General features: G+C 50.9%; 2 protein-coding genes across 11 annotated transcripts, besides 10 other annotated features; one reads left to right on the top strand and one right to left on the bottom strand.

The window, feature by feature from the left end:
* On the top strand, nucleotides 548–4,970 carry NHP2 (NHP2 ribonucleoprotein). 3 transcript variants are annotated; one of them, NM_001396110.1, is made up of 5 exons: nucleotides 548–775; nucleotides 873–942; nucleotides 3,440–3,545; nucleotides 3,724–3,851; nucleotides 4,595–4,970. In NM_001396110.1, the coding sequence occupies exons 1-5, from the start codon at nucleotides 616–618 to the stop codon at nucleotides 4,635–4,637; spliced, it is 507 nt and encodes a 168-aa protein (NP_001383039.1). In that variant the 5' UTR covers nucleotides 548–615; the 3' UTR covers nucleotides 4,638–4,970. The 3 variants fall into 3 exon arrangements, with proteins under 3 accessions (NP_001383039.1, NP_060308.1, NP_001030005.1); NM_017838.4 differs by lacking the exon at nucleotides 3,724–3,851; NM_001034833.2 differs by lacking the exons at nucleotides 3,440–3,545; nucleotides 3,724–3,851.
* Nucleotides 2,980–3,481: an enhancer, noted in NCBI's record as "H3K4me1 hESC enhancer chr5:177577953-177578454 (GRCh37/hg19 assembly coordinates)". NCBI's record gives its function as "activates a minimal SCP1, AML or CMV promoter by ChIP-STARR-seq in primed H9 embryonic stem cells {active_cell/tissue: H9 hESC(primed)}" and the evidence as "EXISTENCE:reporter gene assay evidence [ECO:0000049][PMID:30033119]".
* Nucleotides 3,865–23,419, bottom strand: RMND5B (required for meiotic nuclear division 5 homolog B). 8 transcript variants are annotated; one of them, NM_001288794.2, is made up of 12 exons: nucleotides 23,379–23,419; nucleotides 23,057–23,196; nucleotides 19,121–19,260; nucleotides 16,175–16,325; nucleotides 11,705–11,850; nucleotides 11,441–11,581; nucleotides 10,706–10,806; nucleotides 10,325–10,491; nucleotides 8,154–8,319; nucleotides 6,798–6,900; nucleotides 6,550–6,704; nucleotides 3,865–6,464 (listed from the first exon to the last, which is right to left on the bottom strand). In NM_001288794.2, exons 4-12 carry the CDS (start codon nucleotides 16,311–16,313, stop codon nucleotides 6,401–6,403), a joined length of 1,182 nt encoding a protein of 393 aa, NP_001275723.1. In that variant the 5' UTR covers nucleotides 16,314–16,325; nucleotides 19,121–19,260; nucleotides 23,057–23,196; nucleotides 23,379–23,419; the 3' UTR covers nucleotides 3,865–6,400. The 8 variants fall into 8 exon arrangements, with proteins under 8 accessions (NP_001275723.1, NP_001275724.1, NP_073599.2 ...); NM_001288795.2 differs by lacking the exon at nucleotides 16,175–16,325; NM_022762.5 differs by lacking the exon at nucleotides 19,121–19,260.
* Nucleotides 7,717–7,766: an enhancer, noted in NCBI's record as "active region_23740". NCBI's record gives its function as "activates an Ori minimal core promoter by ATAC-STARR-seq in GM12878 lymphoblastoid cells {active_cell/tissue: GM12878}" and the evidence as "EXISTENCE:reporter gene assay evidence [ECO:0000049][PMID:35858748]".
* Nucleotides 7,887–7,996: an enhancer, noted in NCBI's record as "active region_23739". NCBI's record gives its function as "activates an Ori minimal core promoter by ATAC-STARR-seq in GM12878 lymphoblastoid cells {active_cell/tissue: GM12878}" and the evidence as "EXISTENCE:reporter gene assay evidence [ECO:0000049][PMID:35858748]".
* Nucleotides 8,091–8,385: an enhancer, noted in NCBI's record as "tiled region #11782; K562 Activating DNase unmatched - State 25:Art". NCBI's record gives its function as "activates a minimal TATA promoter and a strong SV40 promoter by Sharpr-MPRA in K562 cells {active_cell/tissue: K562}" and the evidence as "EXISTENCE:reporter gene assay evidence [ECO:0000049][PMID:27701403]".
* Nucleotides 21,786–22,315: an enhancer, noted in NCBI's record as "H3K4me1 hESC enhancer chr5:177559119-177559648 (GRCh37/hg19 assembly coordinates)". NCBI's record gives its function as "activates a minimal SCP1, AML or CMV promoter by ChIP-STARR-seq in primed H9 embryonic stem cells {active_cell/tissue: H9 hESC(primed)}" and the evidence as "EXISTENCE:reporter gene assay evidence [ECO:0000049][PMID:30033119]".
* Nucleotides 23,273–23,862: a silencer, noted in NCBI's record as "silent region_16713". NCBI's record gives its function as "represses an Ori minimal core promoter by ATAC-STARR-seq in GM12878 lymphoblastoid cells {active_cell/tissue: GM12878}" and the evidence as "EXISTENCE:reporter gene assay evidence [ECO:0000049][PMID:35858748]".
* Nucleotides 23,273–24,245: a biological region, named in NCBI's record as "H3K27ac-H3K4me1 hESC enhancer GRCh37_chr5:177557189-177557840".
* Nucleotides 23,594–24,245: an enhancer, noted in NCBI's record as "H3K27ac-H3K4me1 hESC enhancer chr5:177557189-177557840 (GRCh37/hg19 assembly coordinates)". NCBI's record gives its function as "activates a minimal SCP1, AML or CMV promoter by ChIP-STARR-seq in primed H9 embryonic stem cells {active_cell/tissue: H9 hESC(primed)}" and the evidence as "EXISTENCE:reporter gene assay evidence [ECO:0000049][PMID:30033119]".
* Nucleotides 24,246–24,897: an enhancer, noted in NCBI's record as "H3K27ac-H3K4me1 hESC enhancer chr5:177556537-177557188 (GRCh37/hg19 assembly coordinates)". NCBI's record gives its function as "activates a minimal SCP1, AML or CMV promoter by ChIP-STARR-seq in primed H9 embryonic stem cells {active_cell/tissue: H9 hESC(primed)}" and the evidence as "EXISTENCE:reporter gene assay evidence [ECO:0000049][PMID:30033119]".
* Nucleotides 25,911–26,571: an enhancer, noted in NCBI's record as "NANOG-H3K27ac-H3K4me1 hESC enhancer chr5:177554863-177555523 (GRCh37/hg19 assembly coordinates)". NCBI's record gives its function as "activates a minimal SCP1, AML or CMV promoter by ChIP-STARR-seq in naive H9 embryonic stem cells {active_cell/tissue: H9 hESC(naive)}" and the evidence as "EXISTENCE:reporter gene assay evidence [ECO:0000049][PMID:30033119]".

Genomic DNA, 27,221 nt, shown 5'->3' with positions numbered 1-27,221 from the left:
CGCCTGTAATCCCAGCACTTTGGGAGGCCGAGGCGGGCGGATCGCCTGAGGTCAGGAGTTCAAGACCAGCCTGACCAACATGGAGAACCCCTGTCTCTAGTAAAAATACAAAATTATCTGGGCGTGGTGGCGCATGCCTGCAATCCCAGCTACTCGGGAGGCTGAAGTAGGAGAATCGCTTGAACCCGGGAGGCGGAGGTTGCAGTGAGTCGAGATTGCGCCACTGTACCCCAGCCTGGGCAATAAGAGCGAAACTCTGCCTCAAAAAAGAAAAAAAACGAGGCAGCCTTTCCAGCACCCAGAGCCCCGCCCTCTCCGGCCCCGATTCCCAGGGCTCCGCCCCTTGCCTCACATTCCCTCCGCTCCGCCCTAATCGGTTCCGCCCAGTCCCTTGGTCCGGGGATGGCCCCGCCTTAAGGACCATGACTCCGCCCCTCTCCGCTCTCCGTAGTTACGAAGCTGGGCGTCAACGATTGGGCTGAGTCGGAGACTTCCTTTCCTGATTGGCCGTGTTGTACGGCGGCTTCTCGCGCAGCTGATGACCTGGAAGTGATGCCTAAAGCTGTGGACCGCGTGGGCTCGCCTCCCTGGGACTAGGTTTCAGCGGCCGCTGCGATGACCAAAATAAAGGCAGATCCCGACGGGCCCGAGGCTCAGGCGGAGGCGTGTTCCGGGGAGCGCACCTACCAGGAGCTGCTGGTCAACCAGAACCCCATCGCGCAGCCCCTGGCTTCTCGCCGCCTCACGCGGAAGCTCTACAAATGCATCAAGAAAGGTGAGGCGGACGGCGGCGTGGCCGGGATGGGTGCGCGGGTGGGATGGGTGCGCGGGTGGCTGAGCGAGGCCCCCGACCGACTCTTCTGTCGTTGCAGCGGTGAAGCAGAAGCAGATTCGGCGCGGGGTGAAAGAGGTTCAGAAATTTGTCAACAAAGGAGAAAAAGGGTAAGAACCTTCCTTCCTCTGGATTTTGCATTTCTAAACGTTAACGGAGAAATCTCTACTTAGTAGGCGCGCAGTAAAAAGGTTAACTCTGACCTAGCCCCATATACAGAAGCCAATCAAGCAGTCGGTAAAGTCCCTTTGGTACAATACCGGTACGACAATACCGGTACACCACGTATACCAGCTCAAAGTGAATTCCAAAGTGAAGCGAATTGTGTAAGCAAAGTCCCTTAGAGTAAACCCACCTTCATTAATTCAGGGACCCTCCTCCCCGGGCTCCGCTCCTTGCCTCAGATTACCTCCGGCCCCCGCCCTAATCCTCTCAGCCCTGAATCTCAGTCCTAGGGATGACCCCTCTCCGGCTCTGTATTTAAGGAACTGAACGTTAACGTTTTTGTTTGTTTTTGAGATGGGTCTAGCTCTCACCCAGGTTGGAGTGCGGTGGTGCGATCACAGCTCGCTGCAGCCTCGTCCCCCTGGGCTCAAGCGATCCTCCCACCTCAGCCTCCCGAATAGCTGAGACCACCGGCTTGCGCCACGCCTGGCTGTTGTTATTGTTGTTTTGCAGAGACAGAGGAGTCTCGCCATGTTGCCCGGGCTGGTCTTGAACTCCTGGGCTCAAGGAATCCTCCTGCCTCAGCCTCCCGAAGCGTTGGGATTACAGGCATGAGCCACCGCGCCTGGCAGCCTTAACAATTGAATGTACTCTTTTTCAGGCACTGTGTTATGGGGGAAACAGTGACATTCATTCATCAGATAATGACACACACACAACTAATTACACGTTGTGATAGATAGCCATGAAGGAAAATAACAGAGTGCAATGATAACTTCATCACCCCACTTTTCTTAATGGCATTTATCAAAGTTTGAACCTTGTTTACATTTTTCTTCCCTTTATCACCCTCTCAGGCCAGATGGTAAGCTCCTTCAGAACAGGGCCTCCTTGCTTTATCCCAAGAAGTGAAACTGTAGGTGCTCAAGAGATCAATAATGTTGGGCAGACTTGATGCTCAACGGCATCTAACCTAGCTGGGGAGGGCGCATCTGGGGAAGTTTCCCTCAGCAGTCACATTTGAGCTGAGGTCTTAAGACACAGGGATTAATTGGGGGGTGGGTGGGAGGATTCTGCCAGAAGAAAGAGTGGGCCTCTGGGCAGGAGAGGGTCTGGTGAGCAGAAGTGCTACCTTCTTAGGGGGCCTTGTAGGACACAGTAAATTTAGTTTTTATACTCAGCACTTTGGAGGCTATTAGGGGTTAAAGCCAGGAAGTGACATAATTTTTATTATTTTTTACACCCTAAGATTTTTCTGACAATTGAAGAAAGGATTAGAGAGGTACGAGTAGGTTTGGGAAAGTTCAGGTAGTAGACTACTGTAGTCCTGGAGAGGTGATGGTGGAGACAGAGTTAAAGGGGACAGATTTGAAAGGACTTTCAGATGTGGAGAATGGGGAGGTATTGACGACTTCTAGGTTCTGACATGCCCAGCTGGAGGGACAGAGGGCCCAATCTTGAGATGTGAACAGTGGAGGGGGACCAGATTTGTGTAGAAAGATCACAAATTTGGGTCTGGGTAAGTTTTTGAGGTGCTGTAGAGACACATGACTTCCACCCCGCCCCACACCAGGAGAACTGTCAAACAGGCAGATGGCTATAGGGGTTTGGAGCATGGAAGAGAGAGGGCCAGGCTGGAGATAGTACATCTGGGAGTTTTCAGCACATAGATGGCACCTGACCCCATGGCAGTGGCTCCGGTCAGCCAGGAAGAAGGTCCTGAGAGGAGAGGGCAGCCGAGGACAAGGCTGTGAGGAACACTCACAGTGAAAGGCGCTTAACAGAAGGGGAGCCAGCAGAGGGCCCAGAGGAGCACTAGGAGTGCGGAAGCATTCTTTCAGCCGAGGGCTCTGTCCTTGTGTGTCCGCCTGTTATCCAGCATGGGAGAGCAGACTTTTCCTTCTGTGTCTTAGGCTCCTGAGGCCCTTGCCCCCCAGCCTTGACACCTGGCCAGCTAGGAACCCTGGCTGAGTCTCTGGCAAGCTTTCATTGCCTCACTGTCACTCTTGGGACAGAGCCCATGCTTCTTAGCCTGGTACTCAAGGTCTTGGGGGTGTCCCCTGCCAGTCTCTCGGCTGTGTCTGGTGCCGTTCTGATTCTCACACCACATGCTCTCCCCCGCCCCAGCCCCTCCGTGGGCTGCCTGCCACACAGTCATCCATCAGCGTGCTGTTCAAGTGTCACCTCCTGGTTGAACCCTTTTTTGACTCTCCAAAGAGAGCTGAGCTCATACACCTTGGCACCCATCCTGTACTTCACCTGTCCGAGCACTACATCACTTTGGTGGCACCTGTATGTTGCCAAGAGGTAGAGATCACCCCCAAATAGTGTGCTCACCAAACACAATTTTGTCTCTATCCCTAAGACCCAGCCCAGGGCAGCACTTAAAACTGAAAGAAGGAAGGAGCAAGCCAGAGATGACAGTGTTTTCTCTCATTTCAGGATCATGGTTTTGGCAGGAGACACACTGCCCATTGAGGTATACTGCCATCTCCCAGTCATGTGTGAGGACCGAAATTTGCCCTATGTCTATATCCCCTCTAAGACGGTAAGGAGCACGTGGCCCCCTGACCTTGCTCAGCACTGGGGTGTCTGGGATAGTCTGCCATAGCAGGAGAGTGTGGGAAAGAGCCAGGAGTGTTGGAGCTAAGACAGGCCTGGATGGATTCTCAGCTCCACATCTTCTTAGTTTTGGGACTACAGATATGTTACTTCTTGCATTTCAGTTCCCATCTTGTAAAGTGGGAATCCCAGCCCAGGCGCTGTGGCTCACACCTGTAATCCTAGTGCTTTGGGAGGCCAAGACAGGAGGATCAGTTGAGGACAGGAGTTCAGGAATAACCTGCGCAACAAAGTGAGACTCCATCTCTACAAAAAAAATTTTTTTAATTAGCTGGGTGTGGTGGCACATGCCTGTAGTCCCAGCCACTTGGGAGGCTAAAGCAGGAGATCACTTGAACCCAGGAGTTCAAGGCTGCAGTGAGCCATGATCATACACCACCACACTCCAGACTGCATGACAGAGTGAGGCCCTGTCTCAAAAAAAAAAAATAGAGGCTGGGGGTGGATCTTGGGTACCTACAGTATCACTTCTTGGGATAAAGCAGGAGGCCCTGTTCTGAAGGAACTTACCGTTTGGCCTGATGGTAAGAACCAAATAGTCAGTTATCTGTGGACTATGAGAATAAAGAGATAGATGTATGTGAAAGAGCTTTGTAAGCTAAGATGCTTCACCCATGTTAGTCCGGTTAGGTGGGTTTAGGCTCAGAGGGACCTGTAGCTGTCCTTATCTTACGTAACAGGGGCCAGATCTGAGGCACAGGAAGTGGGGGTGGCAGGGACCGGGACAGCCCCTGCTGGGCTGGAGCCCTTTCATAGTTGCCATGTGGGAATGTAGGCCCTGTGTGGCTGGACCATGCCTTCAAAGTCTGATTGAGTTTAAATGATGGCAACCAATTCAAGATGCTTTTAAATAGAACATGGACCGAACAGAACATGGTTGTGGGCCAGATTAGGCTGGTGGGTCATCAGTTGGTGACTTCCTGGCATACAGGTTGTACAGCTTTTTTCCAAACAGCACTTCTTTCCCCTCTGTAGGACCTGGGTGCAGCCGCAGGCTCCAAGCGCCCCACCTGTGTGATAATGGTCAAGCCCCATGAGGAGTACCAGGAGGCTTACGATGAGTGCCTGGAGGAGGTGCAGTCCCTGCCCCTACCCCTATGAGGGGCTCCGGTAGCACCTGGGCACCTGCCGCTGGAAGCTATTGGGCTGGCAGCAGGACGACTGGCTGTCCTCCTGCCCACCCACACTGACGGCATCTTCCCAGTTCCCCAAGGCACGCCTTCTTCCCAGGCAGCTCTAACAGCCCTTTCATGAAGGTAATGCTAGTCTTCTGTCCATCAGTGCCATTTCCTGTAGAACTAAAGGCTGTTCCAAGAATGTGGGGTGGGGAAAGTAAATGCTAAGACTAAAATGTGGTGAGTCTGTGGGTGTTTTCTTAAGCAGCAGCTGCTGGTTGGGCCAGCGAGTTGGTGGGCGGGAAGAGTGAAGCAGTCTTCCTCAGCAGAGAGCCCAAAGGACTCAGAGGGTTCTGTGCTGATGCTCAGCTGCCCAGGGCCGGGTGCTTTGGCTCAAGCTGAGAACTGATCCTGCTGCTATCCCAGCATTTTCAACTCCCTCTTCCAGGGTAGATGGGGGCTGTGAGGTAAGGCAGGGGGCCCAGACCCACTTCATGGAAGCCTAAAGCCCCCACATCAGGAACACCCCCATTCCTAACTTAACCCAGGAGCCTTAAATGCCACTGTGAAGCTTATGGAAGCAATTTACCCACCCACACAGCACATTTTAAATAGGAATATGAAGCTAAAATGCATTCCCCCGAGCTCTCTTGCTTAACATAATGGCCCTAGTAACCCAATCCCTTCAAGTATTTTAGACTTGGGGCCCCTTCCTGCTGTCAGAGGCCCTGCACAGGACTCAGTATACATAACAGCCAAGTTCAGGCACCCTGGAATAAACTGGAAATAGCTTGGGCTTGAGGGTCAGATCTGGTTAAAACTCCAAGCTCTCTCCTTTCTAAGCTGTGAGCCCTGTTGTGCAAGTTACTTCATTTTCCTGAATCCCATTACACGGATTTCTCCTATGGAGTTAGTAAGATCTGGTATGGGTATATGTAAAAGCACCTTGCCCGGGGTCTGACATCTAAGCTCCCCGCAGTCAGGGATGCAAGTTGTGTTCTTCCTGCCTGGACACTGGATACCTGCTGGCCATGTTTTTGTTTGCGGCAGCCACCAGGCCGTGCCCAGTCCCTGTGTGTGGTAGACATGTGGTCATAATTTGTCAGTGAGGCTAAAGGTTGGCCAGGAGAAATGAGAAGGGCAGTAAATACATTTGTTCAAAGTTATAAAACAACGGCATTCCGTTCTAACTGGGACTATTTACAGTGGGAGATGGTACATACTGTTGAGGCTGTAGTGGGAGGAAGAGGTGGGCCACCGCTGGACACTCTTGGGCCGAGGGGCAAGGGTGGACATAGCATTGGCATGGCAGCAAGAGACTTGGCTGAGGGCAGGGGTGGAAGGATGTCTACTGCTGAAGACCAAATCCCTTGCCACTCTGTCGGTTGCTACTAAGTCAAACGCAAACAGAAACAGGAAAAGACAGCAGGAGCACAGAGGCCAGCATCTCCCTTTCCTTATGCCATGGAGCCAGGTGCCAGGCGTGGGCTGGTCCATCTCCCTCCTCAGCCTCTGCCAAAGGGCTGCTCCAGTGCTCCCCTCAGTGGAACTCCTCAGCCAGGCGCTCTGAAACCAACCACAGTCCACTGAAGTTGACCACCCTACCGAGACAGACCAAGGCTCACAGGTGAAAACCCCTTTCAACAAAATTCCTTCCAGGTAGGAATCAGAATATGATGCGTTTCCCATCTGCCGGGTTCTGCTCCATGGGACAGTAGGGACACTTCAGCCTGCAAAGGGAGGAGAACCGAGAACGTCTCAGGGGTGGCCAGTAGGAGAGCCAAGCCAAGGTGGAGTAGAGCACGGGGAACTTACTTTCCTCCATTAATGAGCTTATTGAGTGCATCTCGGGAGATAACATGGCCACAGATGAGCTTGATGGGAGGGTTGGAATCTGACGTCTGCTGGCGGAGGATGGGGCAAGCGAACACGGAGTGGTACCAGCACTTCATGCCTAGTTCAATCTCAATCTGGGAAGGGCAGCGAAGCGGGTGAGTTCCACTTCCTGTCATGGCTGTCCTCCCCAGTACCTCTTGCCCACGATTCCCCAGACCAGGCCTCACCGGTAACTCGTCCTTGTGATTCCAGACCCCAGTGCACTGCCGCTGCTCAATCACAGCCTTGATGTTCATCAACACAGGCAGCGCCACACAGCCAGAGGCAAAGCTGCAGACAAGGAACAGGGGCTAGAGTGGCTCAGATCACAGCAGACAGGCAAAAAGGGCCAGCGCGCCATGCTTCAGCATGGACCTTGAGACAGGGCTCTAAAATGGTGCACGGTCAAATCGGTCCTCAAAGATCCCTCACATTGTTCATAAGATGTCACATATGTACTTATGTATGTCTGACTCTACAGACTCATTCTAATGCACCCCAAAATTTGAGAACCTACAGGGAAGACTTCCTATAGCTCTAGGGGCAGATATCTGCTCATCCTAATGACTGAAAAGTCCTTGGTGTGACTAGGGAACAGTGAGCAGTTCCAAAGGGCCCCAGCCTGCCTGTAGGACGTACCCTGCTGTGTAGTCATAACACATCTTTATAATGGTGGCTATCAACTAGGCCGCCTAACAAATGGAGGTTGGGGTTCCCTTCTCGTGACAGTTGCATGGGGAAGGGAGCCTACTGGCTGGAACCTCAGGTGCTGAATACCCCACAGTGCACAGGGTAGTCCTGCGCAACAGAATCATCCTAAGGTGCTGATGTTGTTCTTGCTGGGAAATGACGTTCTATAAACTGAGTCCATGGTAACAAATCAGATGAGCGTAGAATCAGTCCACTATATTGAGGTGCTGTACTCAGACACCATCAACAGTCTAAATACACAGTGACAGCTGTCCACTGTGGCGGAGTGTGTGGCTCTGGGGTCAGGTTCAAGTGCCCATTATTCCCTGCGAGGCCTTGGGCAAGTGCGTGCACATCTTGGGCCTCCATTTCCTCATCTGTAGAAGGAGGATAACGTGGCTCTCCCTCCCAGGGTTGCTGGGAGCTCTGAGGGAGGTGTCAGCAGCAGTGCTGAATACATATTACTCAACCACTCACATCTCCCCTGAAGGCAAGTGGTGTTTAAGACATTAGGTCATGAGGAAGGCGGGCTGCAGAGGGGCGTGGGTTAGCTGGGAAGGTCTTGCAATGATCCAGGGTGAGGTGCAAGAGAGGCAGGGACCTCATTCAGGAGACCTTACAAAATGGGAACCTTGACCATGCCACTGACCTCATGGTGACCTCGGGCCATAACTCTTCCTAGTCTCAGTTTAACTGTAAAAACAGGTAATTCCTCTCCTGAAGAATGACTAAGAAAGCCAGTTTCGGTCTCTGAAAGCACCGAGCACTGTTCCTGGCACATGGCAGGGCCTTGGCAAATGATGATTACCTCTCTACCCTCCCACCTGTGCTGCCCTCACAGGGCTGGGTTGTACCTGACGCTAAGGGGGGACTCCACAGAAAGCCCCAGCAGGGAACAGGCGTCCCGGGTAAAGGTCTCACAGATCTCTGCCCAGTGGCTGCTGTCCAGCAGGTGGCAGTAGGGTGACTTCTCCAAGCCCAGCCGCAGGTACACCAGGCTGCCCATCATCACCTGGATCTCTACAAGGCAACCAGAGGGGGCAGCTCAGGGGGTGCAGGGCTCTGGGTCCACCCCCAAGCGGGCAGCAGGACTGTGCAGCACAGCACAATATGCTGAGCCCGGTGGCTCCCAAGCCCCTGAGGAGACTGAGCAGGGATGAAAATGCCCTCAGGCAAATTTGACTGTAAAATCCACTGGGGAGGTGGAGGTCCAGGCTGCTTCTGCAGGATGAGAACAGGCATTACTAACACAGAATCAGGAATGAGGACAGTTCTTTTCCAGTTCTCTTTCCTCCCCCACTGCATCAAGGATCAAATAAGTCCTCAGGTTGGCACTGGTGTCTCCACACTAATCTCCATTTAGAGCAACCCCAGGTTAAGAGCTTTCAACAGGCAGCAGTATCTAGCTAAAACTTCAGTCATGTTTTGGGGCCGGGCGTGGTGGCTCATGCCTATAATCCCAGCACTTTGGGAGGCCAAGGTGGGTGCATCACATGAGGCCAGGAGTTTGAGGCCAGCCTGGCCAACATGGTGAAACCCCGTCTCTAATAAAAAATATATAAAGTTAGCCAGACGTGGTTGTGGTGTCAGGCACTTGTTTTTTTTGGTGTGTGTGTTTTTTGTGTGTTTTTTTTTTTTTTTGAGACAGAGTCTCGCTCTGTCGCCAGGCTGGAGTGCTGGAGGGCAGTGGCACAATCTCGGTTCACTGCAGCCTCCGCTTCCCGGGTTCAAGTGATTATCCTACCTCAGCCTCCCGGGTAGCTGGGACTACAGGTGCCCGCCACCACGCCCGGCTAATTTTTCATATTTTTAGTAGAGATGGGGTTTCACCATGTTGGCCAGGATGGTCTCGATCTCTTGACCTCATGATCCACCCGCCTCAGCCTCCCAAAGTGCTGGGATTACAGGTGTGAGCCATCATGCCCGGCCGGTGTCAGGCATTTGTAATCCCAGCTACTCGGGAGGCTGAGGCAGGAGAATCGCTTGAACCTGGGAGGTGGAGGTTGCAGTGAGCCGGGATCACACCACTTACTGCACTCCAGCCTGGGCAACAGAGTGAGACTTTGTCTCAAAAATAAATAATAAATCATGGCTTGGTTTTCATATTTATTTTGAGATAAAATTTAAAATAATAAATATGAGGTGGAACTAAAAAAACAAGTTAGTACAGGTTACTACTTGTAAGCATAGGTGAGACTCAGATTCCAGGTTTGGAAATTCTAGCATGACAGGAAGAGTGCTCAACTGAGTCTTTTTTATTTTATTTTTTGTAGAGATGGGAGCAGGGGCAGGGGTTCCCCATGTTGCCAAGGCTGGTCTCCAGCTCAAGTGATCCGCCCTTTGCTTTGGCCTCCCAAAGTGCTGCAATTACAGGCATGAGCCATCGCACCCAGACAAGTCTTTTTTTTTTTTTCTGAGACGGAGTCTCACTCTGTCACCCAGGCTGGAGTGCAGTGGCGCGATCAAGCTCCGCCTCCCGGGTTCATGCCATTCTCCTGCTTCAGCCTAGTAGCTGGGACTACAAACGCCCGCCACAACGCCCAGCTAATTTTTTTTGTATTTTTAGTAGAGATGGGGTTTTACCATGTTAGCCAAGATGGACCTCATGATCCGCCCACCTCGGCCTCCCAAAATATTGGGATTACAGGCGTGAGCCACCGTGCCTGGCCTTTTTTTTTTTCTTAAAGGACTTTTCCATAGGCCACACAGGTCAGGGAGGCATACGAGGCAGAACAGGTGGGACGGGCATGGCATGCTCTAAATGAGTGTGGTGTGGCGCATAGCAGGCACGAGGACCCTGGGTGGTCTGCGCTGAAGCTATAAACTAAAGGTATGGCAGATGTGAGAGAGGAGGAGTCTAGAGTTCATCCTGGACACGAGGGGTCAGAGAAGTTTCTAGTTGGGGAGAGGCATCTGTGTAACAGACAGCCCCACATGGGTGCAGGGACTGGCAGCCTGATGTAACCTACCACATCCAGACATGTGTCAGGCCAGGCAGCACAACCCCAGCTGCCTGGGCACTCACCCCGCTGGTGCAGCCGAGCAAAGGGCTGGAAGTGCCGAGCATAGCTGAGGGCCTCCAGCTGCTTCGCGGGGCCTCCTGCCAAGAGGCGGATGAAGTGCAGTCGGTGCAGCTTGAACTCCAGGGAGCTGTTGAGTTCCAGCAGGCGCTGCCTGTGGGAGACGGCCCATCTGGGAAGAAAGGGGCCAGTTTAGTGTAGAGCTGGTGGGGGCTAGGACCTGAGAGCCAGCACCTGAGAGGAGGGCCCCAAAAGCCTGTGTGAGGCTCTTGAGACAGGGCTGCAGGCAAGTCAAGTACATCTGGGTGAAATGAAGACCACAGTCAAGCCCTGTGCCCTGAGAGGTCGAAGCAGAATGCTGCTGGCCCACCCAAGGGCCTCCTTACTCCAACGCAGGACCCAGGTCTTGTTCGTGCAGGGCTTCCAGGATTCGATTCAACTCTAGGAAAGGCTGCTTGAAATCCAAGTCCACATTCAGCGTTGATTCCTACAAGGAGAGAGAGAAGAGATCCCACCACTGGAAGATGGTGTTTCCAAAGTTCTCTGCTATGCACATAATAAAAGCTCACCCGCCAAAGACAGGCCAGAGAGCTGGGCTTTGCTTGAGGAGCTTGGTCTCCTGCCAGCCACTTGGGCCTCTCTTGTTCCCATCTCAGTCCTGGGGAGGCTGAGTATGACATGCTGACCTCGAGTGCAGACTGCAGACCCCACCCCACAACCGTAGCAGTGGAGACAGTCCCCAGGCTACGCACTGAGTTGCATGGCGAGAAAATTACTCCTCTTCAATCCTCCTAGTACAGTAGGGAAAATCTTTTACTTTTACCACCAGTGTGTCTTTAACACCTAACAAGTACTACTTTGTCATTTCACTCAGCTCCCTTTTCAATAAAGGGATATGAGGCCTCAGCTCAGAGCCCTGGCTGGCAACCAACTCTAACTAAAAATGAGTAACTTCTCTTTTCATCATATATGTTTTTAAAGCTACCTTCTGCTTCTGGCAGAGGTGCTGATTTCCTTTAGGAAATAAATGGATTTGAGAATGGTAGGGACTTCATACAGTGAAAACTAGCAGGTGAAAGGCAGAGCAGGCAGGTTGTTGCGCCCGCCCAGCCCGACTGTACCTGGCACAGCTCCTCGGCCACGCTGAGCATGCCCTGCTGATACAGGTGTTCCACGATGGCCATCTGCAGGATCTGCTGCTGCTGTTCCCGCGCGTCCCACACCGCATCTGACACAACACCACAGATCTCAGAGTCGAAGTTCTGACGAAGGAGGAGAGACAGGGCCTGGTGATGCGGGCACTCTTGCTGGCTCTCCTTCGAGTCCTTGTACATCCCAGCTTCAGGGTGCTCCCACCCCACGCCTGGAGCCGGCCACGTGCTCACCCTGTCAATGGCTTTGCCCACTCGGGATACACTGCTGTGAATGTCCTTATGGTCCGAAGCCAGTTTCTGCACCGTATCTTTGATCTTCCGGCAGCACTGTGACATCACCAGAGAGAGGGTGGCTGAGAGAGGGGTCCCCTGGAGGGCTGCAGAGAAAGTGGAATAAGGACACAGAGGAGGCAGACTGGGGCACCTGCCTTGGCAGCAGACCTTAGCTCTATTCTAAATGCCAGCCCCGTAGCCCAGGAGGCAGCCCTGAATGCCAGGGTGAAAGAACTAGCTTCTCTTCCAGGTCCTGCCACTTTTTAACTGTCTGACTTGGAACTGCTCAAATGGGAAAAGCCAGTTCACCTCTGGGAGCCTTCATTTCCTCATCTGTGAAATTACTGGTTGCTGTGAAATGAAGATGATCTGGCACTTACTATGGGTCAAGTGTTTATTTCAACTCATGGACTACAGCATGCATAGGATTCTGTTTAACTGCCAGGTTAGACCTAGAGTTACCACCTGATCCAGCAGTTCCACTCCGAAGGATATACCAGAAGAAATAAAAACATATGTCCACACAAAAACTTGTAAGTGAATATTTATAGCAGCAATATTTATAATAGCCAGAAGGTGGAAACAACCCAAATGTCCATCAGCTAGTGGAAAAACATGGCACATCCCTACAGTGGACTATTATTCAGCCATAGAAAGGAATGAAGTGCTGATACAGGCTACAGCATAGATGAGCCTTGAAAACATTCTATTAATCAAAGAAGCCGGACACAAAAGGCTACATGTGGTATGATTCCTTGTATATGAACTGTCCAAAATAGGCAAATCTATAGAGACAAAAAAGAGATTAGTGGTTGCCAGAGGCTAGGGAGAGGGAGGAAATGGAGAGACAGTCAATGGGTTAGGTTTCTTTTGGGGGTGATGAAAATGTTCTGAAATTAGATAGTGGTGAAGATTGTACAACTCTGTAAATATGCTGAAAACCGCTGAGTTGGACTTTATTTTTTAAATTTTCATCTATGTATGTATGTATTTATTTATTTTGAGACCGAGTTATGAGACTGGCTAATACCTGTATTTTTGGTAGACAGGGTTACCATATTACCCAGACTGGTCTCAAACTCCCGGACTCAAGCAATCTACCCGCCTCAAGTTCCCAAAGTGCTGGGATTACAGACATAAGCCACCATGCCCATCCAGAGTTGTACTTTATTTATTTATTTTGATACAGAGTCTTGCTCTGTCACCCAGGCTGGAGTGCAGTGACTTAATCTTGGCTCACTGCAACCTCTGCCTCCTGGGTTCAAGCGATTCTCCTGCCTCAGCCTCTTGAGTAGCTGGGATTACAGGTACATGACACCACGCCCAGCTAATTTTTGTATTTTTTAGTACAGACAGGGTTTCACCATGTTGGCCAGGCTGGTCTCGAACTCCTGACCTTAGGTGATCCACCTGCCTCAGCCTCCCAAAGTGCTGGGATTACAGGCATGAGCCACTGCACCTGGACAGAGTACTTTAAAAGAGTGAGTTTAATGGTAAGTGAATTATAGCTCAATTTTTAAAAAAGACATAGGAACCAGGGACTCCCTCTGGTCAGACCTAAGACAATTTGAACATTAAATAACTGCAATGGATTATAACCTATTGAATAAAATAAGAATATGAGTGTGAAGTGATAATAATGAAAGGAGAAGGGAAAGCTTCTTTTCAGTTGAATGTCAACTAATAAATGTATAAAGAATGACAAAGCAGGAAAAATCACCATGTTGCAGACAGCTTAGTAATAATTCACACAACAATCATTAATGGATACTAAAACTAGTAGGCTGAAATTTGGTAAAGAGCAGGACATTTATATGGTATCAAAGTATCTCCCCACAAACTACTTTTTTTTTTTTTTTGAGACAGTCTCGCTTTGTCACCCATGCTGGAATGCAGTGGCGCGATCTTGGCTCGCTGCAACCTCCACCTCCTGGGTTCAAGCGATTCTCATGCCTCAGCCTCCCAAGTAGCTGGGACTACAGGCATGTGCCACCATGCCCGGCTAATTTTTGTATTTTTAGTAGAGATGTGGTTTTGCCATGTTGACCAGCCTGGTCTCAACCTCCTGGGCTCGAGTGATCCGCCCGCCTCAGCCTCCCAAAGTGCTAGGATTACAGCCCACAAACTACTTAGTGATTACAAAGAAAAATTAGGAAGTTTACAGTGGAAAACCTTAGCAGCGACCATCTTAACTAAGTGATCAAAGTGAAGATCAGGCCAGGTGCAGCGGATCATAATCCCAGCACTTTGGGAGGCTGACACGGGAGGATCACTTGAACCCAGGAGTTCGACACCGTCTTGGACAGCATAGGGAGACCCTGTCTCTACAATAAAAAAAAAAAAAAATTAGCAGGGCCTGGTAGTGTACTGCTGTGGTCCCAGCTACTTCTGAGGCTGAGGTGGTAGGATCACTTGAGCCCAGGAGGTCAAGCCTGCAGTGAGCCAAGATCGTGCCACTGCACTGCAGCCTGGGCAACAAAGTGAGAACTTGTCTCCAAAATAAAAGTGAACAACAGCAATAATGCAATAAAGCAACATCTTGTGTCTTCCAGTGTGATGCACTGAGAAACAAATCACTTCTGAAGTACTGCCAAAAATGCAAAACCTAAGTAATGAGAAAACATCAGACAACTCCAAATTGAGAGACGTTCTGCAAAATAATTGGCCTTAATGCTTCAAAAATACCAATGTCATGGAAGATAAAGGAAGACAGAAGAAATGTCTCAGATTAAAAAAAGTAAAGATTAGACAGGAGAAACTAAATGCAGTGTGTGATCTTGGATTGGTTCTTGGACTGGAAATTAAAATGCTTTATGAAAATTCCTGAACAGCCGGGCATGGTGGCTCACACCTGTAATCCCAGCACTTTGGGAGGCTGAGGCAGGTGGATCACCTGAGATCGGGAGTTCGAGACCAGCCTGGCCAACATGGCAAAACCCTGTCTCTACTAAAAATCCAAAAAAAAAAAAAAAAAAATTAGCCAGGCATGGTGGTACGGGCCTGTAAACCCAGCAACTTGCGAGGCTGAAGCAGGAGAATCTCTTGAACCTGGGAGGCGGAGGTTGCAGTGAACCGAGATTGCGCCATTGCACTCCAGCCTGGGCAATGAGAGCAAAACTCTATATCAAAAAAAAAAAAAAATTCCTGGGACAATGGCAAAATTGAAATGTTGACTACACTGGCTGGGTATGGTGGCTCACACCTATAATCCTAGCACTTTGGGAGACCGAGGCAGGCAGATCACTTGAGGTCAGGAGTTCGAGACCAGCCTAGCCAACATGTCAAAACCCCACCTGTACTAAAAAATACAAAAATTAGCTGCAGGTGGTGGCATGCGCCTTTAATTCCAGCTACTCGGGAAGCTGAGGCACGAGAATTGCTTGAACCCGGGAGGTGGAGGTTGCAGTTGAGCCAAGATCACGCCACTGCACTCCAGCCTGAGCAACAGTAAGACTCCATCTCAAAAAAAAAAAAAGAAATGTGAACTATAGTTATTAGGTAATATTATATCAATGTTTCATTTCTTGGATTGATTTATTTATTTTGTTTTTTGAGACGAGTCTTGCTCTGTTGCCCAGGTTGGAGTGCAGTGGCGTGACCTCGGCTCACTGCAGCCCACCACCATGCCCAGCTAATTTTTGTATTTTTAGTAGAGACAGGGTTTTGCCATGTTGGCCAGGCTGGTTTTAAACTCCTGATCTCAGGTGATCTGTCGGCCTCGGGCTCCCGAAGTGCTGGGATTACAGGCGTGAGCCACTGTGCCTGGCAATTTCTGGGTTTTAATAACTACGCTGTTTTTATGTAAGAGAATGCCCTTGATTTTAGGACATACACACTGAAGGCTTGGGGCTATGTTATCTACAACTTATTTTCAAATGGTTAAAAAGTAATGATCACGGCAAATATGGCAACATATGAGCAGTTGGTGAATCCAAGTAAAGGGTATATATCAGTTCTTTATACTATTCTTGGAATTGGTCTGTAAATTTGAAATTATCTTTAAAATCTTAAAAGCTAAAAATAGGCCAGGCATGGTGGCTCACGCATATAATTCCAGCACTTTGGGAGGCTGAGGCAGGAGGATCACTTGAGCCCCTAGGAGTTAAAGACCAGCCTAGGCAACAAAGACACTGTTTCTACACACACACACACACACACACACACACAATTATAAAATGAAAAAAAGTTAAAAATAGAAAAGTAAGTTGAAAACAAAATGTAAATGGGAATCATCTCAGGTAAATTAATAATTTGTTGGGCTTTTTGAAGTAGCTCAGAGACTGTCATTACCCGGTTTCAAGGAGGCCTACAGATGCAGGTACCAACATCCTCATCATCGTCCTTCCGGAACCCTGTCACTCAGTAGCTTCGGGTCTCCCATGTCCTCAGGGAGGCTGTCGCAGGGCACTTGCAAGGGTGGCCACCCACCTGCGCTGGCCAGCTCAGCCCGCAGCTGGCCCACGTAGTGCAGCAGCTCCTCCAGGCTCCGCTCACAGTGCTGCCCGTAGGTCAGGAACTTCTGCAGGACCTTGTCCAGCTCTCTCTCCACGCACGCACACTGCTCCATGGTGGCCTCAGCCTGGGGAGGGTCAGCTGGGTCAGGCCCCATCTGGGCCACGGTGGCATGGCAGGCAGGGTGCCCAGACCACCTCTTCAGATCCCTCTCACCATTCCCACATCATGTATCAATGTTATATGTTTTGTACATATATGTATATATGTACCTATGTTTTGGTAAGCATATAACATCCCATCTCCTCACTCCACTGGGGTGCCCAGTGGAGGATGCAGGCTGGTGTGAGGACGAGGTTTTTCTTAATCATGGTGAGAAAATTATTATTCCATTTTCAACTCTTTTCATGCCTTAATTTTTGTTCATCTCCCTTTTAAATCAGAATAGAGAGCAGGCCTCACAGAGCCCTTAGCTGGCAATACTATCTAACTAGAAATCCATATACTGCATAATGTCATATTACACGTATGTATTTTCTTTTTTTGAGACAGGCTCTTGTTCTGTTGCCCTGGCTAGAGTGCAGTGGCACAAACTCAGCTCATGGCAACCTTGATCCCCCCAGGCCCAAGGGATTCTCCCACTTTAGCCTCCTGACTAGCTGGGACCACAGGAGTGTGCTTCTACACCTGTCTAATTTAAAATTTTTTTTCGTAGAGACGGGTCTCTCTGTGTTGCCCTGGCTGGTCTCAAACTCCTGGGCTCAAACGATCTTTCCACCTTGGCCTCTCAAAGTGCTGGGATTATAGGCATAAGCCACCATGCCCGGCCCGTGTATTTTCATAGAGTTATTATGGCCACATTCTTACAGTTAGAGGAACTGCTTTTCTACGTACTATAGTAACATAAACCATAAAGGCCGTCCTTGAGTGGCTGATATTTGGAAACACAGCTTGGGGAATAACTGCCAACCATGCTGGCCTGACGGACTTGCCCAGCACTCCTGCCTCACCCTCACCCGCCGCACACCCGAGGACAGGCACAGAACCCTTGCTGTCTCATAGCTGCGTGCCCTGGTACATGCTGCTTCCTCACCTGGCCTGCTCTCCATCACCCTTACCTCCTCGACTACTTGAGAGGCTGGCCCATCACTTCTGAGTTAGCTCAGACGTCAGCGTCTTCAGCAGCTGTCTCTAGCCTGTGCCCACCTAGCTCCCTCTACTCTCACTTTGCACCCTTCTATTTCAGTTTTGGTCACTGGGCCTGCCTCCCCCACCAGACCAGAACCTCTCTTGCTGCAACACAACCTTCCCTCCTCATTATACCATTGAAAGAAAGTTGACTTTTCTTGTCCTATCTCCTCTCCCTACCACTGGGGCTTCCTTCTGTGTCCTTTCTACCCTGGGCCACTGCTCCTTTCCATTTCAGAGCAGCCTTTGACACTGAACACGTGGGCAAACCTCAGAATGTCAGTGACAGAGCTGATCTAGCCCAATGCCCATTCTCAAGAAGGGTACAGAGGAACATCAAAGAGAAAGAGAATCCTATGTCCAAGGTGACCACCAAGATCCTCCCAGTTTCACAGGCTCTCTTCACTCATTCCCTCATTCCCACCAGCATGAGTCCCGGCCTCAGCACCTTGACCCATCTGTAGCCACTGTCTCCCAACCTGACAGGCAACAAGTGACAGTGAAAAGGCACCCAGGGCCTTGGGGGCTGTGTTTCTTCCCTTTTTCCTTACAGCTAATGCTATTACGCTGGAATCTATAGTCAGAGAGTCCAGAAGCTATGCCACCCACCCCCCACCATCCCCTCTGAACAAACACCCTGCAACTGAATGTGACCCATTATGGCAAAATATAACAGGGTCTCCTATCTGAAATGACGTAATTATTATTATTGCTATTATTAACAGCTGACATTCCAAATAGGAGCCTGTTATGTGCCAGGCACCGTTCTAATGACTTTGCATACATTAATTCATTTACCTAATGCTCACGAAAACACTATGAGGTAGGTACAATGATTAGACCCACTTTGCAGATGAGAAAATGAGACACAAAGATTAAATCAGTTGCCCAAGGTCAGGCGTCTGGGAAGTGGAGGAGCTGGGAACTGAACTGAAGCCAGACAGTCTGGCTCTGGCCTCAGAGTCCTTCTCTACGTACTTCACATCACAGGTACTCCCAGGACCAGCTTCACAGGCCACTGTTTCACCAGGAAAGGAAAGAGCAAATATCTGTGTTGGAATGAGTGTACAGCAACCATTAATGATGATGAGAAACAGAAAATTAACCACAGAGCTCGTGAGAATGATCAACTGGGGAAGATGGCAGGACACTAGAATGTTGGCCAAGAGTGTCTGGGAACTAGAATCACAATTTATCAAAAATAAACATGGCTCAAAAAAGCCAGGACCTCACGAAGGTCAAACAATCCGGCCCTGTCAGACACCAAGAGCTACCAGGCTTATCAAAGCCAAGCTCAAATCAGCATCTTGAAATTGTATTTACTACACTTGATCTCAGCGAAAAGGCTGAGAAGCGATAAAATTCTATTTACAAAGCTGAGGAAGGAGATGGGTACGGGATTGCATTGTAGCAAGGAGTGGGAAACAATCTAGGGACCTCATCACTAGAGGAATCAAGTAAGTAAAATGTGGGGGATGCATCTATGGAAACCTGTGGAGCATTTAGAAACTGCATCCCAAATATACCCAGAGCAACATCGACAAGCTCCACACATGGCACTGAGGTGGAAAAAAATGAGGTCTAGGCAGAATCCATTTATGTAAATTAAAAGTATATGCATATAGGCTGGGAGCAGTGGCTCACACCTGTAATCTCAGCATTTTGGGAGGTCAAGGCAGGCAGACTGCTGAGCTCAGGAGTTTGAGACTAGCTTGGGCAACACGGCAAATTTACCTGGGCATGGTGGCACACGCCTGTGGTCCCAGCTCCTCAGAAGGCTGAGGTGGGACGGAGGACTGCTTGAGCCCGGGAGGTCAAGGCTGCAGTCAGCCATGATTATGCCACTGCATTCCAGCCTGAGCAAGAGTGAGACCCTGTCTCAAAAAAACAAAAAACAAAAAGAAGATATACACCAAACACATCAGAATGGTTTCCTGTGGTGAGAAGAGAGGGGAAGAATAGGGACAAAAGGGAATATAAATACAAAGGAGAAAAAGGCCCTGCATGGACCAGTTAAATGTATCATGAACTGAGGAGTGTGATTAACTCAGTAATTTTTTTTTTTTTTTTGTAGACGGTCTCGCTCTGTTGCCCAGGCTGGAATACAGTGGTGCTATCTTGGCTCACTGGCAACCTCCACCTCCCGGGTCCAAGCAATTCTTATGCCTTGGTCTCCCAAGTAGCTGGGATTACAGGTGCACCACCACACCTGGCTTTTTTTTTTTTTCATTTTTGTATTTTTAGTAAAGACGGGGTTTCGCCATTTTGGCCAGGCTGGTCTCGAACTCCTAGCCTCAAGTGATCCACCTGCCTTGGCCTCCCAAAGCACTGGGATTACAGGTGTGAGCCAAATCACCTGGCCAAATTTTTAAAAGTAAAATAAATGAACTGAGAAAACAGAACTGTTCGTGGGTATTCTATCCAAAAAATGCAGGAGGTTAATTCAGTCTGTCTAGAGCAAGCCACTCTGCCTGAATCAGTCAGTCATCTTCACCAGGCGCAAGGAATTGTGTTTGTCTTTGACAAACTTCATGATTAATAGATTGAAATTTCATGTCCACTGGTCCTAAGCCTTCCTCCCCAAGGTCTCACATATACAGAAATTATCCACCAGGATGACCCTCCGAAACACATAGCAGATCCTGTTACCTTTTGCCCAACACTACCATGGTTGACATATAAACCCTTTGCAATAATGTATTTGCTTCCTTTGCACAAGTTGTTCCCATTTTTAGAGTGCCCTCTGCACTTCTTTGTATAGAGTACGTAAGCTGTAGTTAAATTATCACCTCCCCTTGAGCCCTCAGTGAAATCTCCCTGCCTCCTTTTCTGCTTCATAACCTGGCAAGAGTGGCCACACCACACCCATCGAGTCCTCAGCTACTGCAGCACAGTAACAGCCTGTCCACGTCAGCCTCCTCCATTGGTCTGTGAGCTGCTCGATGGCTGGAATGTAGTCTTGTCCTTTCTCCCCCTCAGTGCCCAGACTAGGGCCTGGTCCATGGTAGATGCTCAGTAAACATTTGTTGATTGGGGCAGGGCGCGGTGGCTCACGCCTGTAATCCCAACACTTTGGGAGGCCGAGGCGAGTGGATCATGAGGTCAGGAGATCAAGACCATCCTGGCTAACACGGTGAAACCCCATCTCTACTAAAAAAATACAAAAAATTAGCCGGGTGTGGTGGCGGGCACCCGTAGTCCCAGCTACTCGGGAGGCTGGGGCAGGAGAATGGTGTGAACCCGGGAGGTGGAGCTTGCAGTGAGCCAAGATTGTGCCACTGCACTCCAGCCTGGGAGACAGCGTGAGACTCCGTCTCCAAAAAAAAAAAAAATTGTTGATTGGCCGGCGCAGTGGCTCACACCTGTAATCCCAGCACTTTGGGAGGCTGAGGTGGGTGGCTCACCTGAGGTCAAGAGTTTGAGACCCGCCTGACCAACATGGTGAAACTTCGTCTCTACTAAAAATACAAAAATTACCGAGGCGTGGTGGCGGGCACCTGTAATCCCAGCTACTCAGGAGGCTGAGGCAGGACAATCGCTTGAACCTAGGAGGTGGAGGTTGCAGTGAGCCAAGACCACGCCATTGCACTCCATCCTGGGCAACAAGAGCAAAAACTCCGTCTCAAATTTAAAAAAACACACACACACATTTGCTGATTAAATGACACATCCATTTCCTAACTGCGCTGGAGAACCTGAGCTCAAATGTGTAGGAGTGGGTAGAAAAGAGACATGAGTGAAATATTAAAATCTCCACAAAGGCATGTATGGAGGTTTATCCTGGAGTATTTAGCATCCTGAAACAAGGGGCTCCTGTGTAAGGAGAAAGGAAGTTTGAGCAAATCATAAAGGTCCCTTTTGCCTGACAAAGATTAGACAACATCGGCTGGGCGTGGTGGCTCATGCCTGTAATCCCAGCACTTTGGGAGGCCGAGGCAGGCGGATCACAAGGTCAGGAGTTTGAGACCAGCCTGACCAACATGGCGAAACCCTGTCTCTACTAAAAATACAAAAATTAGCTGGGCGTGGTGGTGCGTGCCTGTAATCCCAGCTACTCGGGAGGCTGAGGCAGGAGAATTGCTTGAACCCAGGAGGCAGAGGTTGCAGTGAGCTGAGATGGCGCCACTGCACTCCAGCCTGGGCGACAGAGTGAGACTGTCTCAAAAAAACAAACAAACAAACAAAAACAAAAAAAAAAGATTAGACAACCTCCATTGACCCAATTCTTAACGCTTTTTTTTTTTTTTTTTTTTTTTTGTGAGGCAGGGTCTCTTCAGTTAATAGGGTTGCTTAAAAAAAAAAAAAAAAAGAGAGAGACAGGGTCTCAATCTGTTTCCCAGGCCAGAGTGCTGTGGTACAATCAGGGCTCACTGCAGCCTCGACCTCCTGGGCTCAAGTGATCCTCCCACCTCAGCCCCCCACCCCAAGAAGCTGGGACTACAGGTGCACCATGTAGTCCCACCATGAACACTCCTGAGTTCATGACACATGTAAGTGGTCCATGCAGGGCCTTTTCTCCTTTGTGTTTATTTATGTATTCCCTTTTGTCCCTATTCTTCCCCTCTCTCCCCACCACACCTGGCTAATTTTTTTGTTGTTTGTTTTTGAGACAGAGTCTTACTCTGTCGCCCAGGCTGGAGTACAGTGGCACGATCTTGGCTCATTGCAACCTTTGCTTCCCAGTTTCAAGCGATTCTCCTGCCTCAGCCTCCCAAGTAGCTGGAATTACAGACACCTGCCACCACACCCGGCTAAATTTTGTATTTTTAGTAGAGACGGGGTTTCACCATGTTGGCCAGGCTGGTCTTGAACTCCTGGCCTCAAGTGATCCTCCCGCCTTGGCCTCCCAAAGTGCTGGGGTTACAAGCGTGAGCCACTGCGCCCAGCCTAATTTTTTGGAGCGACAGGGTTTCACCATGTTGGCCAGGTTGGTCTTGAAGTGCTGAGCTCAAGCCGTCTGCCAGTCTCAGCCTCCCAAAGTGCTGGAATTACGGGCGTGAACCACCGTGCCCAGCCAATTCTTATGCTTTTGCAGCCGCGACCTCCATCCACTCTCTACCCTACATGTCACTCCTCTGCTTAAAACCAAAAGATTTCCACTGTACTTAGAAAAAACTCCACATTCCTCTCTCTGACCTACAGACTCTATGTGACCAAACCCCAATTATCCGACCTCATCTCCTACCACTCTTTCCCTTTCTTACCATACTTTAGCCACACTAGCTTGCTTTCTGTTCCTTGACTATACTCTCAGTTGATTTCTGCCCTAGGGCCTTCACACTGGCTGTTCCCGCTGCCTGGACCACTCTCTTCCCGTATCTTCCTAAGCCTGCCTCCTAATTTGGGTCTCAACGCAAATGTCCCGTCCTCAGAGATGCTCTGCTAGACCACAGTATCTAATACTGACCCCTCCGCCCCACCCTCACACCAGTTACCGTGTCATATCGCCCTCCTCCATTTTTTTTTTTTTTTTACTATACAGTCCTACTTGAAGTTTCTAATCTTTCTTTTCTCATTAACCAAAACTGGAGGGAGGAAAAAGCCCATCATTTTCCCTGGACAGCAGCGCCTACTGGGAGTTTCACCCGCATTAACATGCAAACGACAGGCAAACTCCTAGTCATCCTTCCAAAGACCCTGCTCCATAGCCCTGCCGAGCCCGGTGCGCACCTGCTCACTTCCGACCCAGCGCGGTCGCACGAGGACTGGACGTTTGAGTCCGAGCAACTCCCCCCGGCTGAGGCGGCTCTTCGGGGGCTGGGCCGGGACCTATGAGTCTGGGACTCCAGCTCCCGGCCCAGGGCCGACAACTGCGAAGAGAACAAGCCCAAGGGCAGATTGTTCGGGGCTTAGTCGTGGGTAGCAGGGGTTCTGGAGAAGGCTGGGGCCCGGGAGGCCGGCCGAGCTTTCCCCGCCGCGCGCCTCAGCTCCGCCGGCCGCTGTGCCCGCCCTCGGCCCGCACCTGCCGGCTCCCAAGCCCGCCCGCTCTCACCTCGCCCCGCAGCCCCGGCCCCGGCTTCCGGCGCCACTGTCATCGGAACCGGAAGCCGCGGCGGGCGATCGGCGGCCCGGGCCCGCCCATTGGCGGTTTTGCGGAGGGGTGGCCGTCCCACGAGCCCGCGGCTTTGCGCCTCACCGCCGAGGCTCCCCGCCGCGCATGCCGAGTGGAGTCGCCCGCGGGAACCGGGCGGCGGCCAGAAAAGCCGCGCCTGTAGTCCTCTGGGGGTCGCGCCTGGTCGTTTCCAGGTTCCGAGTCCCTCCGGCCCGGCCCCGGGCCTCCCAGTCGGCGGAAGCCCCTGGCCGCGACCGCTCCTCGCCGGCGGGCGGGTTCCCCACCCGGCAGAGGCGTCGGCCTCGCACTCAACCCAGCACCCGACTCCCGGGTCAGAAGCCCCAAGCCCCAAGTGGTTACGCTTACAGCGCTGCCCGCCCTGCTCAGTGAGGGCGGCGCGGGGGCCGTGAGGGGCAGTGGCTGGGCTAGGTGCGCACCGGCCTCGGCAGGGCTGTGGAGCAGGGTCTTTGGAAGGATGACTAGGAGTTTGCCTGTCGTTTGCATGTTAATGCGGGTGAAACTCCCAGTAGGCGCTGCTGTCCAGGGAAAATGATGGGCTTTTTCCTCTCTCCAGTTTTGGTTAATGAGAAAAGAAAGATTAGAAACTTCAAGTAGGACTGTGAACAGGCTTAGGGATCCTGGACAGAGCCTAGAAATCTCAGGAGAACTGAGAGCTCTTGAAATATGAAGTGATGCTTAAAAAAAAAAAGAAAACTCCAGGCCGGGCGCGGCGGCTCACGCCTGTAATCCCAGCACTTTGGGAGGCCGAGGCGGGCGGATCAGGAGGTCAGGAGATCGAGACCATCCTGGCTAACACGGTGAAACCCCGTCTCTACTAAAAATACAAAAAATTGGCCGGGCGAGGTGGGGGGCGCCTGTAGTCCCAGCCACTCGGGAGGCTGAGGCAGGAGAATGTCGTGAACCCGGGAGGCGGAGCTCGGAGTGAGCCGAGACGGCGCCACTGCACTCCAGCCTGGGCGACAGAGCGAGACTCCGTCTCAAAAAAAAAGAATAGAAAACTCCGGGCCGGGCGGCTCACGCCTGTAATCCCAGCACTTTGGGAGGCTGAGGCGGGCGGAACATAAGGTCAGGAGTTCGAGACCAGCCTGTCCAATATGGTGAAACCCCGTCTGTACTAAAAATACAAAAATTAGCCGGGAATGGTGGCAGGCGCCTGTAGTCCCATGATCCTAGCTACTCGGGAGACTGAGGCAGGAGAATCGTTTGAACCCGAGAGGCGGAGGTTGCAGTGAGCCGAGATCGCGCCATTGCACTCCAGCCTAGGCGACAGAGCGAGACTCCGTCTCAAAAAAAAAAAAAAGAAAAGAAAAGAAAACTCCTTTCCTGTCCCAGCCTTTCTGGTCCCCTTAGCCCGAACTTAATCTGCCCACTGGGTATTCAACAGAATTCAGTTCTGCGGAGGAGGGGGTCCAGCCCTACCCTGCCGCCCTGTGTTGGTCGCTGTCCTGGGGAACGGGGGAAGGGGAGAAGATGGGAGCTGCCCATCTGCCCTAAGGAGGAAGGGTGAGGGTTAGGAAGGAGGAGGGAACAGGCACTGACCCCAAACCCAGGTCCAGACTGAATTTTCTTTTTCTTTTTTTGAGATGAAGTCTTGCTCTGTTGCCCAGGCTGGAGTGCAGTGGTGTGATCTCGGTTCACTGCAACCTCCACCTCCAAGCTTCGAGCGATTGTCCTGCCTCAGCTCCATGAGTAACAGATTACAGACATGCTCCACCATGCCCGGCTAATTTTTGTATTTTTAGTAGAGAGGGGATTTTGCCATGTTGGCCAGGCTGGTCTCAAACTCCTGACCTCAGGTGATCCACCCACCACAGCCTCCCAAATTGCTGGGATTACAGGCATGAACCACCACACCCAGCCCCAGATTGAATTTTCTATCCCGGACCCTCTGCTCTGGAGGGAAAGAGTAGAGAAGTCCCCACTCCTCCTCAGGCCTCAGCTGGGACTAGGAACAGCCCTGGAGAAAAAGCCAGGTCTCTGTGTTGCCCACTTCTGCTCCCTTTTTGGTTGGGCCTCATTCCAGGCCATCCTCCCCTTGAATCCTCCATGCCTTCCCCTCCCTCCCCTTTGCACAACTTACTTTTTTTTTTTTTTTCAAAATAGAGAGGTGGTCTCCCTATGTTGCCCAAGCTGGTTGCGAACTCTTGGCCTCAAGAGATCCTCCCCTCTCAGCCTTTGGAAGTATTGGGATTACAGGAATGAGCCACCATTCCTTGCCCTGTTTTCTTTTTTTTTTTTTTTTTTGAGACGGAGTCTTGCTCTGTCGCCCAGGCTGGAGTACAATGGCATAATCTTGGCTCACTGCAACCTCCGCCTGCCAGGTTCAAGCAATTCTCCTGCTTCAGCCTCCTGAGTAGCTGGGACTACAGGTGCACACCACCATGCCTGGCTAATTTTTTGTATTGTTAGTAGAGACGGGGTTTCACCATGCTGGCCAGGCTGGTCTTGAACTCCTAACCTCGCGATCCGCCTGCTTCGGCCTCCCGAAGTGCTGGGACTACAGGCGTGAGCCACCGCACCCAGCCGACCTGTTTTCTTTATAGCACTTGGAAGTTATCTTGCGTGTTTATTTGTTCATTCTGTCTTCTGGCCCCCACTCCCATCACCCTCTTTGGGGCCAGACATGGTGGCTCACGCCTGTAATCCCAGCACTTTAGGAGGCTGAGGAGGGAGGAATGCTTGTGCCTAGGAGTTCTAGACCAGTCTGGACAACATAGGGAGACCCTGTCTGTACAAATAATACAAAAATTAGCCGGGTGTGGTGGTGCACATCTGTAGTCTCAGCTACTTGGGAGGCTGAGATGGGAGGCTGCCTAGGAGGTCGAGGCTGCAGTGAGCAGTGATCGCGCCACTACTCCAGCCTAGATAACAGAGTGTGAGAGACCCTGTCTCAAAAACAAACAAACATGGGCCAGGCGTGGTGGCTCATACCTGTAATCCCAGTACTTTGGGAGGCCAAGGCGGGTGGATCATTTGAGGTCAGGAATTCAAGACCAGCCTGGCCAACATGGTGAAACCCTGTCTCTACTGAAAATACAAAAAAAAAAAAAAATTAGCCAGGCATAGTGGCAGACACCTGTAATCCCAGCTACTTCGGAGGCCGAGGCAGGAGAATCGCTTGAGCCCGGGAGGCGGAGGTTGCGGTGAGCCAAGATTGCACCACTACACTCCAGCCTGGGCAACAGAGTGAGACCCTGTCTCAAAACAAAACAAAAACGAACAACAAAAAAAAAAATTCCACCAGGCCCATGTTTTGTCTTCATCACTGCCTTATCGCCAACACCATATGCTTTGCACACAGGAGGTACTCAGAGATACTCAAGAAGCCAGTGTCCTCCACGTATACATAAGGAAACTGCGGCTCAAAAACCTTATGATATATAGCAGGGGAGAAGGCCCACAGCAGGACTGTGTGCCTGCAGGGGCGTCAGGAGGGCGGATCCCAGAGATGCCTGCCCAAGCATGAGGAGCCTGGGTGGCCCTGGCCCAAACGGAAGCCATAGGGGTGGAGAGTTGATTGAACCTTGCCTTGGTGCCAAGGGGCCCAAGCCACCTTCCAGCCAACCTGACCTCACAGGCTTTGGCAAATGCCCCAGGCTTCCCCACTTCCTCTCCGGGAGCCTTGGCCTGCCTCACAGCCAAGAAGGATGTGAGCAAAGTTGAGGTTCTCCCCCAGTATGTGGCCATCCTTGCATCTTGGTATTATTTTCAAGTGTGCACCAAGTTGTATTAAATAGTTGACTTTGTCCATCTTTCCCCATA

This window comes from Homo sapiens, chromosome 5 (assembly GCF_000001405.40).
Source record: "Homo sapiens chromosome 5, GRCh38.p14 Primary Assembly".
NCBI classification, from domain to species: Eukaryota; Metazoa; Chordata; class Mammalia; order Primates; family Hominidae; genus Homo; species Homo sapiens.
This window is presented reverse-complemented; position numbering and strand designations above follow the sequence as displayed.